Source organism: Homo sapiens, chromosome 3, assembly GCF_000001405.40.
Source record: "Homo sapiens chromosome 3, GRCh38.p14 Primary Assembly".
In the NCBI taxonomy this organism is placed as follows: domain Eukaryota; kingdom Metazoa; phylum Chordata; class Mammalia; order Primates; family Hominidae; genus Homo; species Homo sapiens.
In genome coordinates this window covers 66217811-66234484 of record NC_000003.12, presented here as the reverse complement: position 1 = coordinate 66234484, position 16674 = coordinate 66217811, and the positions used below count along the sequence as shown (strand labels likewise).

At 40.8% G+C, this 16674-nt stretch overlaps 1 protein-coding gene across 26 annotated transcripts in view, besides 3 other annotated features; it reads right to left on the bottom strand.

Moving 5' to 3' along the window:
- Window positions 1–16674, bottom strand: part of SLC25A26 (solute carrier family 25 member 26) — a 245318-nt gene that overhangs the window by 144443 nt on the left and 84201 nt on the right. For 17 of the 26 annotated variants that reach the window (NR_174576.1, NR_174568.1, NR_174567.1 and 14 more), the window contains exon 1: window positions 13358–13484. Coding sequence is in view for 5 of the 26 variants with exons in the window: in NM_001400705.1 (NP_001387634.1) it covers window positions 13358–13390 (33 nt within the window). In the remaining 21 variants the exon portion in view is untranslated. Of the gene's footprint in view, window positions 1–2612; window positions 2700–13357; window positions 13744–16674 lie in introns of those variants that run through there. The other 9 variants (NR_028475.1, XR_007095631.1, NM_173471.4 and 6 more) reach the window with 4 other exon arrangements.
- Window positions 12861–13360: an enhancer, noted in NCBI's record as "H3K27ac hESC enhancer chr3:66271551-66272050 (GRCh37/hg19 assembly coordinates)". NCBI's record gives its function as "activates a minimal SCP1, AML or CMV promoter by ChIP-STARR-seq in primed H9 embryonic stem cells {active_cell/tissue: H9 hESC(primed)}" and the evidence as "EXISTENCE:reporter gene assay evidence [ECO:0000049][PMID:30033119]".
- Window positions 13482–13541: an enhancer, noted in NCBI's record as "active region_20038". NCBI's record gives its function as "activates an Ori minimal core promoter by ATAC-STARR-seq in GM12878 lymphoblastoid cells {active_cell/tissue: GM12878}" and the evidence as "EXISTENCE:reporter gene assay evidence [ECO:0000049][PMID:35858748]".
- Window positions 13712–13871: an enhancer, noted in NCBI's record as "active region_20037". NCBI's record gives its function as "activates an Ori minimal core promoter by ATAC-STARR-seq in GM12878 lymphoblastoid cells {active_cell/tissue: GM12878}" and the evidence as "EXISTENCE:reporter gene assay evidence [ECO:0000049][PMID:35858748]".

Sequence of the window (16674 nt, the reverse complement as noted above, 5' to 3'; positions counted from 1 at the left end):
AAATTACCTAAGAAGACGTCACCCAAAAGGGCACAGAGATGTGCCAGTAGAGAAACCAAGTAGTACCAAAAGAATATCCAATAACGTGGGATTTCTTTCTGGATATAAAGGTGGCCTTCCCTAAGTCATGGGAAAAAGTTCACAAGTAATGTAGGAAAGTAAAAAGGCCAATTGTCAAAACTCTTCTTAATTCTTGTTTCAGGATTTTTATAAAATTCAGTAAGTAGAGCCGGGCATGGTGGTATGTACCTGTAATCCCAGCTACCTGGGAGGCTGAGGCAGGAGGATCGCTTGAGCCCAGGAATTTGAGATTACAGTGAGCTATGATTATGCCCATGAATAGCCACCACGCTCCTGCCTGGGCAACACAGGGAGACTCATCTCTAATAATAATTTGGTAGGCAAATATTTTGCATGCCTCCTCGTTTTCTCAAAATACAGAGAGAATAGAACCCTGGCGAAAATGTCTCGTGCGACTAGATTATTTAAAAACATGCTGCACTTCACTCTAATTTTCTCTTTAATCTTAGGAGAGAATTCAGAGAAGTGCTATCTACTGCTAAATTTTAATCAATAATTACTCTTTCAATCTAGTTGGCTACCTTACATGTATTGATTCTCTAACCCTTCTTTCATCACAATTATTATCTTCTGAGGAAAAAAATGACCAGATTCAATTTACTTGTCTGGTAAAACATCACTCAAGGATTACTAAACGCTTCTATCGATTTCAAACTTCTATATAACTCAAATGTCATTTAAATTCATGCGACTGAAAAAAAAGAAAAACAGCTAACAGAGAACCTGAAGAATAAGAATACCTATATATTTATCCACACAACCACATATTTCAGATTTAAACAAAATCCTTAAGGAATGCCTATATCAATATTGTTTTGTATGTAATTATGTAAAAAATATATAAGCCAGTAACAACCTAATTATAAAGAACTCCATCAAACTCTTTTATTCTTTAGCCTGAAAATGTTATTTTGCTATAATCATCTATCAGAAAGTTATCAGGCAAGTGATTCATTTCATAATTTATGGTAGCTTATACCGAAAAGTTCTAACTAGAAAAAAATCCAAAGAAATAGGACATAACCCAGATAACCAGCAAACCTTGCTACAGCATCACAATGTATCGAGACCTCAATATCTTATAGATAAAATACATGTCTCTACCTTAAGTTAATAAACGTATGAAGTGTTGGCAGACTGTAGAGAGGAAGTGCCCAATTAGTGCTCTGCAATTACTCTGAGAAGTTATAGGTCAGAATTACATGCTATAAAACTTTTTTTCTCAAAAGGAGGAGGGCACACCATAAAAACAGCATTGCTGCTCCCCTCTAGGGCAAAACCAAACCATCTGTGTAATGTAACTAAGCAAAATTAATAGAGGCCACTGGCCTAAACGACAGCTAAGAAGAGCCAGCCATAACATTAACATGGCTTCTCAAGGGAAACATTCCCGACAGTCTCGGTTTCCTCCACCATGAAGTTGCCACCCATGACTTGAACCACCATCTTCCTCACTGCAGAACTGCCACCTCTGCTTTCTGACATACCTGTCGTCTTCCCCACTTCCCATTCATTCTCCCTGCAGTGCTCGCTGCCTCTCTGTACTAATCATTTTCATAAAATCCAAATTTCATCTTGCCACTCTCCAGCCTATAAATCTTCCAAACTTTCCAACAGCCCCGAGGATGAAGAAGAAAATCCTAGCACAGCCTTCCAGGCTCTGGAGGTTCTGGAGCCCCTCCAACTCCCAAAACTCGCACTATGTGCCCTTTGTTCAGTCCTTTCTTTCCACCTGGATCTTTTCCTCTAAATCATCTGATCTTCCTCATTTCAAGGAGTTTGTACAGATGCCCCCTAATCTCCAGTTCAGGTTTAGATCTTGTTGTTTCCAAGCACTGAACACAATTTTAATTACATAGTTTTGCCTCTGACCATTTGTTCAGTACCAGTCCAATTAAACCACAAGATCTATATCTGTTTTGTTTACTAATATGTTTCCAGCACCAGCACATATTAATAGGAGGCATTCAATGGCTCTAATAAAGGGTTACTATCTATATTTTAGAAGGCACTACAAATCAACCTTAAAAAGGTACACTGAATTTTTTTCAAAAATAGCAAAAGACAGGACCAGGCAATTCCCAAAAGAAAAATATAAATGACTAACAAAAATATGAAAATATGATTCTCTGTCATTATCAAATAAAAACAAAATGTTTTCCCAATTAGAAAAAAATTAAAAATATGAAGAATGGGTACAGGCACTGTTAACGAAAACATTACCATAATCTACTGGAGGACAATTTGGCAAAATGAACATTTTAAATTATCAAACCTTTGATCCAGTTATTACTAAGCATTTCTTCCACAGAAATAAATGCACAAATATACAAGAATGTCTACTACAGCATTTCTGTAATAATAAAAAATTGAAAACAACCTAAAAGTCCATCCACTGGGGCCCTGTTAAGTAAATTAAGCTATACACAAATAATGAATTGCTACATAGCCTTTAAAACAACAAGGTAGGCTGGGTGCAGTGGCTCATGTCTGTAGTCCTAGCTGCTGGGAGGCTGAGGTGGGATGCTCACTTGGGCCCAGGAGTTTGAGGTTGCAGTAAGCTATGATCACGCCACTGCCCTGCACTCTAGCTTGGGCAACAGAGCAAGATCCTGTCTCTAATCAAAAAAAAAAAAAAAATGAGGTAAACCCATACTTATTGGCACAGAAACATACACTATATTCTTAAATTAATCAAATTAGCTATAAAACAATATATGCTATATAATCCCATCTTTTAAAATGTGTAACTATTTGTATATGCATAATTAGAAGTCTGGAACATAAACAGTAAATTGCTAGAAATTATTGCCTCTGTGGAAAGAGATTCAGGATGAGAAATACTACTGTTAATAATATTTCTTGTTAATTTTTTAACAATTAATTTTTAAATAATTTTTAACAATTTTAAATAACAAGAATTATTAATTTTTTAAACAACCTTGTTAATTTTTTATTTGCTCAAGTTTTGTAATGAATATTACAAATATATAAAAGCTAAGCCATTCAAAATTCATGCTTCCCCTGGGGAAAAAAAAAATCTCTAATTTACTGGTTGTACTTGATATATAGAAGCCACTCAGCAAACGGTAACTAAGAACCTCAACCTACTGACCCTAAGCTACCTCCTCTGCAGCTTCATGAAGCTTCACCCTCTATAGACCTTGGAGTGTTCAACCAATCTGACTACTCGAACATCTCAAACACGTCCTGAAACAATTTATTTTTTGAGATGGAGTCTCACTCTGTCACCCCATCTGGAGTGCAGTGGCACAATCTCAGCTCAATGCAACCTCTGCCTCCCAGGTTCAAGCGATTCTCCTGACTCAGCCTCCGGAGTAGCTGAGACTACAGGCACATGCCACCATGACTGGCTAATTTTTATATTTTTAGCAGAAGCAGAGTTTCACCCTGTTGGCGAGGCTGGTTTTGAACTCCTGACCTCAGGTGATCCACCAGCCTTGGCCTTCCAAAGTGCTGGGATTACAGGCATAAGCCACTGCACCCAGTTGTTTCCTAAAACTTCTCATTCCTGTGCTTCTGCTTAGGTTTTTCTCTCAGTCTAAAATTCTGGTTTTTTTTTGTTTTTTTTTTTTTTGAGACAGAGTTTTGCTCTTGTTGCCCAGGCTGGAGTACAATGGCACGATCTCGGCTCACTGCAACCTTCACCTCCCAGGTTCAATTGATTCTCCCGCCTCAGCCTACCAAGTAGCTGGGATTACAGGCGTGAGCCACCATGCCCGGCTAATTTTTTGTATTTTTAGTAGAGACAGGGTTTCTCCATGTTGATCAGGCTGGTCTTGAACTCCAAACCTCAGGTGATCCGCCCACCTCAGCCTCCCAAAGTGCTGGGATTACAGGCATAAGCCACCACGCCCGGCCTAAAATTCCCTTCTTATCCTTGTCTCCTGCCTATTGCAGCCAGCAAACCACCATCGCCTCCACCCCCCTACATACATACATGCACACACACACCCCTGACAAAATCCTCTCCGTTCTTAAAGCTGCAACCCAATGCCACATTCCTCATAAAGCCTTTCCCAATTTTCCAGTCAGAATTAAATGCTATGTCCTTGACTCTAGTATATAATGTTGTTTATATTTCACTTTTGGTACTAACCATCACTCTAGTATATAATGTTGTTTATATTTCCTTTTGGTACTAACCATCATGTCTGACGTTTAGATCCTTCAGAGTAGAAACCAGATCAGTCACCTGCCTTCCTAAATATCTAACCGAGTGTTTCTTATATAGCAGGGGTGCTAAAATAGAAACGTGGGATGATGAGATAACACTTTGTAAAAAGAGGAAATGTTCAGAAAAAATCTTGCAGTCAAGCACTGCTTGGTGGTCCCTGTTCTGGTCTGCCACAGCATGTGTGACAATCAAAAGTCAGGGTCAGCTATCTGCTGCTATTCTTCGCAGCATTCCTCAGCCACCATGACCACTTTGTGGAATACTCAGGGGGACTTCTCCAGAAATCTCTGCTTAATATTACCTCCTAATGGAAAGAACTGTGTACATTCAGTTTTTTTTTTAGTGAGGCTATTCTCAAGAATACAATAATAATGGTTCTAGAATCTGACTCGATTATTCTTCCATTTCTCCAGGAATTCTTTCAAATTAAGTATTGCCTAAGAACACAGCTTTGCCATCAAACAGATTTAGCTTCGGTTTCAACTTGGTCTTTGTATTAGTCTGTTCTCACACAGCTATGAAGAAATACCTGAGACAGGGTCATGTATAAAGAAAAGAGGTTTAGTTGACTCACAGCTCCGCACTGCTGGGGAGACCTCAGGAAACTTACAATCATGCCAGAGGGCAAAGGTGAAGCAGGCACCTTCTTCACAGGGCGGCAGGACACAGAGAGTGCAAGAGGGGAAATGCGAGACACTTATAAAACCATCAGATCTCATGAGACTCACTCACCATCAGGAGAACAGCATGGGGGAACTGTCCCCACGATCCAATTACCTCCACCTTTGGTTCGTCCTTGACACATGGGGATTATGGGGATTACAATTCAAGATGAAATTTTGGGTGGGGACCCAGCCAAACCATATCAGTCTTCTTAGGGAAACTAACCTCTCTAAGCCTTTGTTTCTTGACACATGAAACAGGGAAAAGAGTACCTATACTTCATAGAGTTTTTGAGAATTAAATAAAATAAATGAGAACTAAACACAATCAGATGAACCTGTTATATGGTTAGCAAAATGCCTAGGCCTTAATCAATTATCAATAAACTACTATTTTTAGAATTATATTACTATAAACATCCTTCAAAGTTTGCTGGTACCAATACTGACATGCAAATACTAAAAACCACGCAAAAGCCTAAAGAGTACTTTACCAAACACTGAAGATGACATTCCTATATTCAACTCAACTGACAAATTCATATATTAAAATCTGTAAATTCAAGTTTTTCACTAGCAATAATGAATTAAAAGCTCTTCTCAAATTCTGCTCTCTGGACAAGAATCCCCAGTGAACTGACTCAACAGAAACCAAATCATGTGATGCATGACAGGAACATTCAGCATCAACTTCAAAAACTTAAAGAGAAATATAAGTGTTCAAATTGCTTTATGATTCTTGAATTCAAACTTACATGTTAATTTTTTAAAGTAGAATATAAAATTATACCTATATGACCTCAGCTATGAAAAAGTTGCATAAGCACTTTTAAAGTGCTCAGTAAACAGTTAAGTGTTACCACCACTTGGAATTATATAATTAAGTTTCGTTTAGCATCTGCCTCCTACTAGACTCTAAATCCCTGAAGGTGGGGGACCATATTTTTCAGGCATTCAACCCCAAATAACACAGCAAAGGCCAACAAATGTATCTGGTTAAGCATGTAAAAGACACCTGATTTGGGGAGGTGAGATAACTGTGGGTGTAACTTTTATCTTTCCTTTATTTGGAATTTAATTAATGTTACCCAAATTTTGTCTGTATTACAAAAGATTTAATATTTAGAGCAACTTTCAACATGTAGTAGTAGGGTTTGGAAGTGGTAACAAAACCACATTAACAAGTCACTTACAGCTAAGTTATCAAATACTAAAACTTTCCAAGTATGCCTTTCTTAAACAGAAAGAAAAATGAAAAAAGAAAGGTAGTCCCATCTGTGGGTAGTAGAGATGCACAAAAAAATGCCTCCATCACAGTGGTGGTTATCAGTTGTGGTCCTTGCATGATTGGTGCTCTCCAAGCAGTGCTTTGCATGCTCCACGGGCTGAGCAAAATTTGGAATATACTTGTGTTTAGATAATTTCTTGCTCAACACAAAAGCAAGCAAAAAGGGAAGACCTGCTCACTCTGACGTAAATGCCAAAAATAAACAAGTCACACAAGTCCTGAGAAAGAGAAGCATAATTCTCAATTTTTTATAAATTTGGAGATAATCTTTAAAGATGCCCTTTACTCCAAATTGAAAACTAGGAGGTCACTATCCAGAAAAGATAAGAGGCAAAACAAGAAAAACAACAAAACAGAAAACCTCTTTTAATAGTATACCCAATACTTCATTCGTATTACCTTTCTTCACTCCACCCAAGAACCCCTGCCATCATAACCCACATTGTTCCCCTCAAGTATCCTACTGCCTGTAAGGTGGTTCTCAGCAGAAGGGCAGGTCCAGTGAGAAGACACCCAAGTATCACGAAAAAGCTCCCCAGATGACAGCACCAGCCAAAAATCACCTCACTAAAAACAGGAAAACAAAAACTACAAGCGGTCCTCACTTTGCATGGTACCTACATACATGAATTTCAGTTACCATGATTTACTTAAATAACATGAATCTCCCAATGACCCAGGTCAAATTTCAGTTACCACAGCATATTAACTATGAGTAACTGGATAAAGTGTAAACTTCACCACTTGTTCAGTCCACAAATCACAATACAATTAACAGAAATCACTGCCTATTACTCAGTTTACGCACAGACAGCAAATAGTTGTTACCTCATCTCCCAGTAATAAATGCACACGACATTTTATAAAAATAGACAGAAAACTGATGAACAAAGATGAAAATGCAAAAAAAATGAAAAGTGGTAACACAAAGTTAAACAAAAATCAGACATAAATGGTATTAGAGAACAAACAGCTGGCCATGGAAATATTCACACTGCTGTCATTAATCTAGATAAGTAACTAGAAAAAATAAGTGAGAGCAAATTTAACATAAATAAGGAAAGTAGTTGTGATGAAAAGGATGAAAATGTCCCAGACTAAGTTATGTCAGCAAGTCTTCGCATTAAACGAACTCACAACATTGAAAGCACAAAAAATAAAATGTTAGAAGTTGATCCAAACTGAGAAAGCAGTATGACAACTTGCCAAGGCATAAAAAGATGCTTCTTCTATAATACATAATGAGAACACAAGCAAATGTTCAAACTACTGTTGATAAGGTTTTGTCCAAAAAATTAAGTTATTAATGTTTCTAATGTTTTTAATTACAGTGTACTAAATAAACATCAGCTTTGCAATTTTTCCCCTATATATTACAACCAAAGCGTTTTTAATGTTTTGACAAAAATTCTTAGGGTGGGCCAGGTGTGGTGGCTCATACCTGTGACACCTCTTTCTACAAAAAAAATTTTCTAAAAACTGTAAGAACAACATGGGCTGGGCTCAGTGGCTCATGCCTGTAATCTCAGCACTTTGAAGCTGAGTCAGGAGGATTGCTTGAGGCCAGTACTTCAAAACCAGCCCTGGCAACACAGCAAGACCCTGTCTCTACAAAACAAGAAAATTTTTAATTAAAAAATTAGCCAGGCGTGGTTGGTGCATGCCTCTAGTCCCAGCTACTCAGGAGGCTGAGGTGGGAGGATCACTTGAGCAGAGACAGCACCACTGCACTCCAGCCTGGGCAACAGAGGAAGACCTTGTCTCAAAAAAAAAAGAAAAGAACGCACATGAAATGGTTTGGCTCTGGGTCCCCAACCAAATCTCATCTTGAATTGTAGCTCCCATAATTCCCACATGTTGTGGGAGGGGCCTGGTGGGAGGTAATTGAATCATGGTGGCAGGTCTTTCCCATTCTGTTCTGGTGATAGTGAATAAGTCTCACAAGATCTGATGATCTCATAAAGGGGAGTTCTCCTGCATACGCTCTCATCTGCAGCCATGTAAGACGTGACTTTGCTCCTCCTTTGCCTTCTACCATGATTGTGAGGCCCCTCTGCCAGCCATGTGGAACTGTTAGTCCATTAAACCTCTTCCCTTTATAAATTACCCAGTCTTGGGTATGTCTTTATCAGCAGTGTGAGAACAGACTAATACAGGAAATTGGTACCCACAGTAGGGTGCTACTATAAAGATACCTGAAAATGTGGAAGCGACTTCAGAATGGGTAACAAGCAGGGGTTGGAACAGTTTGAAGGGCTCAGAAGACAGGAAGATGTGGGAAAGTTTGGAACTTCCTAGAGACTTGTTGAATGGCTTTGACCAAAATGCTGACAGTGAGATGGACAATAAAATCCAGGCTGAAGTGGACTCAGATGGAGATGAGGAACTTCTTGGTAACTGGAGTAAAGGCCACTCTTGCTATGCAAAGAGACTGGCAGCATTTTGCCCCTGCCCTAGAGATCTGTGAAATTTTGAACTTGAGAGAGATGATTTACAGTATCCGACAGAAGAAATTTCTAAGTGGCAAAGCATCCTAGAGGTGACAAAGCATAAAAGTTTGGAAAATTTGCAGCCTGATGATGCGGTAAAAAAGAAAAACCCATTTTCTGGAGAAAAATTCAAGCTGGCTGCAGAAATTTGCATAAATAACCAGGAGTCAAATGTTAACTGACAAGACAGTGGGGAAAATGTCTTCAGGGCATGTCAGAGACCTTCATGGCAGCCCCTCCCATCACAGGCTCTGGAGGCCTAGGAGGGAAAAAATGATTTCCTGGACTGGGTCCAGGGCCCCCTTGCTGTGTGCAGCCTCAGGACTTGGTGCCCTGTGTCCCAGCCATTACAGCCGTGGCTAGAAGGGGCCAAGGTAGAGCTCAGGCTATGGCTTCGAAGGATGCAAGCCCCAAGCCTTGGCAGCTTCCACATGGTGTTGGTACTGTGGGTGTGCAGAAGACAAGAACTGAGCTTTGGGAACCTCTGCCTAGATTTCAGATGATGTACGGAAACGTCGGGATGTCCAGGCCGAGGTGTGCTGCAGGGGTGGGGCTCTCCTAGAGAACCTCTACTGGGGCAGTGTGGAAGGGAAATGTGGCTGCCCCAGTAAGGAGTCCCCACCAGGTCACCACCTGGTGGAGCTGTGAGAAGAGGGCCACTGTCCTCCAGACCCCAGAATGGTAGATCCACTGACAGCTTGAACCCTGTGCCTGGAAAAGCTACAGACACTGAATGCCAGCCCATGAAAACAGCCAGGAGGGGAGCTGTATCCCACAAAGCCACCATGGGAACCCACCTCTTACAGCAGCGTGACCTGGATGTAAGACATGGAGTCAAAGGAGATGATTTCAGAGCTTTAAGATGTGACTACCCTGTTGGATTTCAGACTTGCATGGGGCCTACAGCCCCTTCATTTTGGCCAATCTCTCCCATTTGCAATGGGTGTATTTACCCAATACCTGTAACCCCATTGTATCTAGGAAGTAATTAACTTGCTTTTCATTTTACAGGCTCATAGGCAGAAGGGACTTGCTTTGTCTCAGATAAGACTTTGGACTGTGGACTTTTGAATTAATGCTAAAATGAGTTAAGACTTTGGGGACTGTTGAGAAGGCATGATTGGTTTTGAAATGTGAGGATAGGAGATTTGGGAGAGGCCAGGGGTGGAATGATATGGTTTGGCTCTGTGTCCCCACCCAAATCTCATCTTGAATTGTAACTCTCATAATTCCAATGTGTTGTGGGAGGGACCTGGTAGAAGGTAACTGAATCATGGGGGCAGGTCTTTCCCTTGCTCTTCTGGTAATAGTGAGTAAGTCTCACAGGATCTGATGGTTTTATAAAGGGGAGTTCCCCTGCAGCACATGCTCTCTTGTCTGCCACTATGTAAGACATGACTTGCTCTTCCTTTGCCTTCCACACAACTGTGAGGCCTCCCCAGCCAAATGGAACTGTAAGTCAATTAAGACTCTTTCCTTTATAAATTACCCAGTCTCAGGTATCTTTGTTAGCAGCATGAGAACAGACTAACACGATGTAATCCTACCACCAAAAATACTTAGTGCTATTTTGGAGTATTTCAATCTGGCTTTTTTTCCCCATGAATGGAATAGGTTTTAACATAGCTTTAATTAGGTACAAGCAAATATACATACATGCAATGTTTTTCTCTTAATTTTATCTCATAAGCATTTTCCATGTAATTATAGTACATTCTCTTCACAAGCACTATTTTTTATGGCTGCAGACTAGTCCAAGAAATGGGTTTCCCATTGTTTGTCTAATTCTTCCCCTCTGTCCCATGTTTTAGCAGCTTCTTACTGTCTTCACTGAGTTAAATGTTATTTATATAAATATCTTTAGGTTGCTAATACATAGTTCCAGTTGCTTTCCTAAAAGTATGCACTGATCAATGTACTCTTTGAGGATTTTGTTTCTGGATACCCCACTCTGTGCTCCAAATGATAACTAACATCCCAGAGGCTCTCCACTTATTCAATCCTCTTCATGAAGCTTTAGGAAGGGAGCATTTCAATGTCTGCTACTTGCCAGGCTCTGCTCTGTGTGTTTAATGTTACCTCATTTAATTCTTCAAATCCAAGTTTCAAGACTTCAGCAATCATCTAGGCTTTTCATTCAAAGTAGTACTGAGTGCTTACCTAGTGCCAGGTACTGGTAAAAGAGTAGTAAGCAAAACCAAACTCCCTCAGGAGTGTTCACTGTGTCTCAAACGCACTCCAAGACATTAAAAAGTAGCCACTCCATTTCCGTACTACTCTGATAATAAAACATTTCAATGGCTTCCATTACACTACAAATGAAATCCAAATTATTTTCCCTAGCCCATAAAGCCCCACCTCAGCTGGCTTTGCCTACCCCTCCCATACCAACCCCTGCCATGCTATCCTTACCCATTAGGCCTCACCACTTGAAAACTCTAAGCTCTTTCCACTTGAGCCATTCCCCATGACTGAACCTCCCACTCTGATCATCAAAAATTCAAGCCCCTTCCTATCTTTTAGGTCTTAGCTGAAATGTTACCACTTCGTGGCTTTCCTTGGTCACTCCATCTAAGAGGTTCACCAATATTTGCCTACTCTGTCGCATCTTCAGTTCATTTCTTTCATAGCACTTATTCATTGCAACTGTTTTATCTGCTGGCCTTTCTTCCCTACTTGAAATGGGGTTATCTGCCACTGTATCTACAAAGCCTACCACAATACCCAGTGGGCAGAATAGATGGAAGAAAAATTGTGTGCTGAATGCATAAATAAAATGTTTTTCCTTTACCTGGAATGAAATCTAGTTTCTTGAAACTTCCACCTATTGATTCTAATTTTACCCTCTATAAATACATTGGGAAAAAAGTATACTTTACTGCATGTGTATCATACTTTAATTAAGTATATACTAAATCCATTCTTTTGTTAACTGCAGCACTCACCTGTGTTTTAGCAATTGCAACCTTTGCTGACTTCGGAGAGTATCAAGAAGCAGATAAGGGCACGACTCCCAGGTGACATCACCTGGGTTGGAATATGAGCTCCAATACTTACACAGACGAAATGGATCTCACTTGTGTGATTTTGAACTAGTTATCTAATCTCTTGGTATCCCACTTCCCTCATTTGGAAAATTAGGATAAGAGTTCAATTATTGTGAGAATTAAATGGGATAATGTATGTAAAGAGCTTACCCCAGTTCCTGGCACAGGAATGTTAGCTGACAAACTACTGCTGCTGTGTCACCAGCTAGACAGGAAAGCTCCTTAAAAGCGGTAACATTGGCCAGGCGCCGTGGCTCACGCCTGTAGTCCCAGCACTTTGGGAGGCCGAGGCGGGCGGGATCACGAGGTCAGGAGATCGAGACCATCCTGGCTAACACGGTGAAACCCCGTCTCCACTAAAAACCCAAAAAATTAGCTGGGCGTAGTGGCGGGCACCTGCAGTCCCAGCTACTCGGGAGGCTGAGGCAGGAGAATGGCGTGAACCCGAGAGGTGGAGCCTGCAGTGAGCCGAGATGGCGCCACCACACTCCAGCCTGGGCGAAGAGTGAGACTCCTTCTCAAAAAAAAAAAAAAAAATCAGTAACATTATTTCTTTATATTTCTAAGACCTACCTTATACAAGTTTCAACAAATCTAGATTTAAAGCTATCATCCTACAAGTCTGGCTAAGACATCCCTACTTCCATATATTCCCCTAACACCCTGAACCTAGCCCACCTGTTATTTATCCCAACAGTCATTTTACTATTTTGTCTCTAACACCTGACCCTTAGGAGCAGGTCTATCTTGTTCACCATGTTATCCTCAACACCTGCAACACCAAAATTCGATAATTAAGTGACTAAATCACTGTGGGCCTCCATTTTCCCTATGAAAATCATTTTAAAAATTATTTGTCTGTCTCTGCCCATTCCACACAATGAAAACGTAGGCAGCCAAACTCTGTTTTGTTAACTGCTGTATCTAGTATCCTCTACCAGACGCTCCAAAATATTTGGTAAAGGACTTTTTTTTCTGTTAATTCATGTTGATTCTCGTAGTTTTCTGCTACGGAATTAAATACTAAGCCTGTTTATTGACTCCGCAGCGTTCCCGATGAGCTATGTGTGCTCACCAATATTTCTCCAAAGCCTAGGCTTGGAGCAGAAATAGCAGATTATGTATTGAATGAACAGAAGGACATGTCATTTTCTAAGACTGAAAAGAGATGCAGCAAAATGAGAAACGTAGTATTGAATAGAAGGGCTGGGAGCGATGTGAGTAAGGTTTTTGTTGTTGTGTTACATACATTTCTTTAATTCCCAAGATCTCTAGAGTAGTTACACTATTTAATGAAAGAGTAGTTAACAGTGTATAATAGAAGCTCTTTTTTAAGTAAATGAGGGTGCAAAAGACAATGACTCACCTTCCTTCCCCCACCTGGCTCTTATGACCTGGCAGTACAGACATAGCCTTAACACCTGGCCCGCCGGTGGCCTGGGAGCCTCGTGCTCCCTCTCAGACCTGGCTGCCAGTAACCCGAGGACAGTCCAGCCCGCAAAACCGGAAGAAAACCAGTGCAGAGAACGCCCGCGGGCTCCAATGCCGGACGCCGGCACTCTGAGCAACCCACCCCACCGCCCCGCACTCACCACCAGCGCTGCCACGAACCCCGGCCGGTCCATGGTCGCTCAGACCTCGTCAAGGCTACAATCCAAGCCGGAGCAGAAGCGGATCACGTCCTCGCGCGCTGGGCGCCGCCATGTTTGAGGCGGGTCTGTCTTGAACTTCCGGGACCACGTGACGTAGAACCACAACAACTGCACGTGCAACGCGAGACACCTGGGCCTAGGGGAGGGCCAGAGAGGAGGGGCGGGGCCTCGGGGAGTGTGGTGGAGCTAAGTCTCGGCAAATCCCTTACCTCGGTTTCCTGCAGCAGCGTTGTGTGCAGCTAGACGGAGGAACTTTCGCGAGCAAAAGATCCGTGGCCGAGATCCAGGAGAGAGCAGCGGTAGAATGAGGCCGGCGTGATTCTGAACTGTAAACCCAGAAGAGGCGTGGCTGTGGCGGAGGGAGGAGTCGTGAGGGGTAGTACTAACCTCGGGAGGCGCGATTCGGGATCCTAATCGGATATTTCATTTTGGTTTATCTCTTAGTTTTGTCAAAAAATTTTATCTGAGTTTATATTAAATTAACTCATTATCAGAAGATTATTAAATAAAGATATAGAAAAATACATCAGAAGTTTCCTGACCGGAGTTAAAAATTAGCATCCTCCATTTCTCTTTACAGAGTTACTGCATTTAAAATTATTTGTTTGTTCAGTTATTTACCTGCTCATGTTGTTCGCTGTTGTACTCATGTGTACACCTCAAAGCACACGTTATTAAGTACTTAATAACATTTCTTGGAGTGGACCTGTCTTTATTAAACAAACAAATACCTTGTAAACTTCTGTATATATTAAGGGCCAACTACATCTCAGACGTGGTGCTAAGTGATTGACAGACATTTTTTCATTTAATCCTTTCACCAACCCTATGATGTCAGCAACACTAGTGTCCTCATTTTACAGAGGCTCCTGATGCTCCAACAAGTAACCGACTCAATGTGGCTACAGAGAACACAGCAGAGCAAGCACTGAAAATATACTTAATGCCCTCATCATCTTTCCTCAAAACCGTTATAATAACCTGAGCAGGCTCCTTGCCTGGCCTTTCTTCAATCCCTATTCTATAACACTGCTAGAATTATTCTTATAATTATTCTTATTCTCTTCTAGGTAAAATGATCTAGAAATGATACGCAGAATAGCTTTAGGTGTTAGATGGAATTCAAATTCTATCACCTGCTGGGTTTGGGGATAAGTTTTCCAAGATTAAGTTTTCTCCCCTGTAAAGTGGCGATAATGATAGTCACTTTGTCATGCGGTACTATTATATTAATAGATTAAATGAGATAATGCACTCAAGTTCTTAGCCTAGTTCCTGGCTCATAGAAAGTACTCTCTAAAGGTGATGGTAATGTTATTTCCCTGCTTACAACTCCCCTCTGCTGCCAATGGAGACAGTCCAGCTCCCTAGCATGGTATACACCTCTCAGCTGGTGTCTCCTGTCACTCTTCCCACTAGCCGGACTACACACAGACAGACTATACACTTCCAAGCCTCCTAATTTTGCCCATGTTGTTCTCTCTACCCAGAATACCTTTCCCTAAGCTGCCTGTAGGCCCTCTCAAAACATGCTAGTTCACTTTGTCAATGCCAGCAGAAGAATCTCTGTTGCTGCTATTAATGTCTTTCAAAGTCTCATGTGCTTTGGTCAGGCCTACCCAGGATAATCTCCATTTTTATTAACTCAAAGTCAACTGATTAGAGACCTTAATTATATCTGAAAAATTCCTTTTGCCATACGTGACAACATAATCATGGTGGTAATGTTCTGTCATACTCACAGGTCCTGCTCACAATCAGTGGGGTGATTATGCAAAACACATTAGGGGCCAGGAATCTTGAGGGCCACCTTAGAATCCTGCCTACTTCACATTCCTATAAACCCTCACCGGCAGCCTCCTCAAAGGCCATCAAGTTTCTATTAATAAGCTTTCACTGACATTTCCCTCACAGTCTTCCCACCTTTCACCTACTGCCTGGTGCCAATGGCACTCCCACAGTTTAGGAATTACAGTAGCGCCCACCTCCAAGTACCAAAATCTGTATTATTTGTCTATTTCTGCGTAACAAATTACCCCCAAAATTTAACAGACTAAAGCAACGATAAACTTCTATTACCTCACACAGTTTTCATACGTCAAGAATCAAGGAGTCATTTAGCTGGGTGTTTAAGACTCAGAAATTTTCATGACACTACAGTCAAGATGGTGGCCAGGGCCATATCATAAAACTTGATCATGACCGCAGGATCCAATTCCAAGATGGCTCACTCCCATAACTGGCAGATTAGTGCTAGCTATTGGCAGGTAGCCTTAATCCCTCATGGCATACATCTCTCCATAGTACTGCTTGAGTGTCTTCATGATATAGTAGCTGGTTGTTCCTAGAGTAAGTGGTCTGAAAGAGAACAAGACAGAAACTACAAAGTCTCTCATGACCTGTTCTCATAAATTACTCAGTTGTCATTCCAGCAATAGTCTATTGTTTACACAGGTAATCGACATTTATTATGGGGCTGGACTACCCAAAAGCCTAAATACCGGAAGATGAGGATCACTGGGTGCCATCTTGGAAACTGGTTACCACATCAGGGAAATGCCGGTGAACACCACAATGAGATATGAATACACTAGAACTCACTAGAGTGGCTAAAATTAAAAAGCCAAGTGTTGACAAGGATGAGAAGCAACTGGAAATCTCATACATTGCTGTTTCGAATTTTATATGGTACAACCATTATAAAATCCAATGCCACACTTAGGTATTTACCCGAGAGAACTAAACATTTATACAAATACTTTTACATTATATTTCAAAGCAGCTTTATCCATAATAGTCAAAAACTGAAAACAACCTGAATGTCTATCAACTGGTGGTATAAACATATTATGATACATCTTTATAATGGAACATCACTCAACAATAAACGGACATGAATTACTGATATATGAAACAACATGGATTAATCTGAAAGCATTATGCTATGTGAAAAAAAAAAGACCACATGTATTGTGATTCCACTTACGTGAAATTCTGGAAAAGACAAAATTATAGTGACAGAAAGTATATAAATGCTTTCCAGGCGGTGGAGGTAGAGGCAAAGTATTGACTATGAAGTGGGCACAAAACAATAGTTTGCAATGATGAAGATATTCTCTTGTTATTATTGTGGTAGTAGTCGCATGGGTGTGTACATTTACTAAAACGCATTGACTTGCACAATTAGAATGGTTGTACTTAGTATATATAAACTATAAGGCTGGGCGCCGTGGCTCATACCTGTAATCTCAGCACTT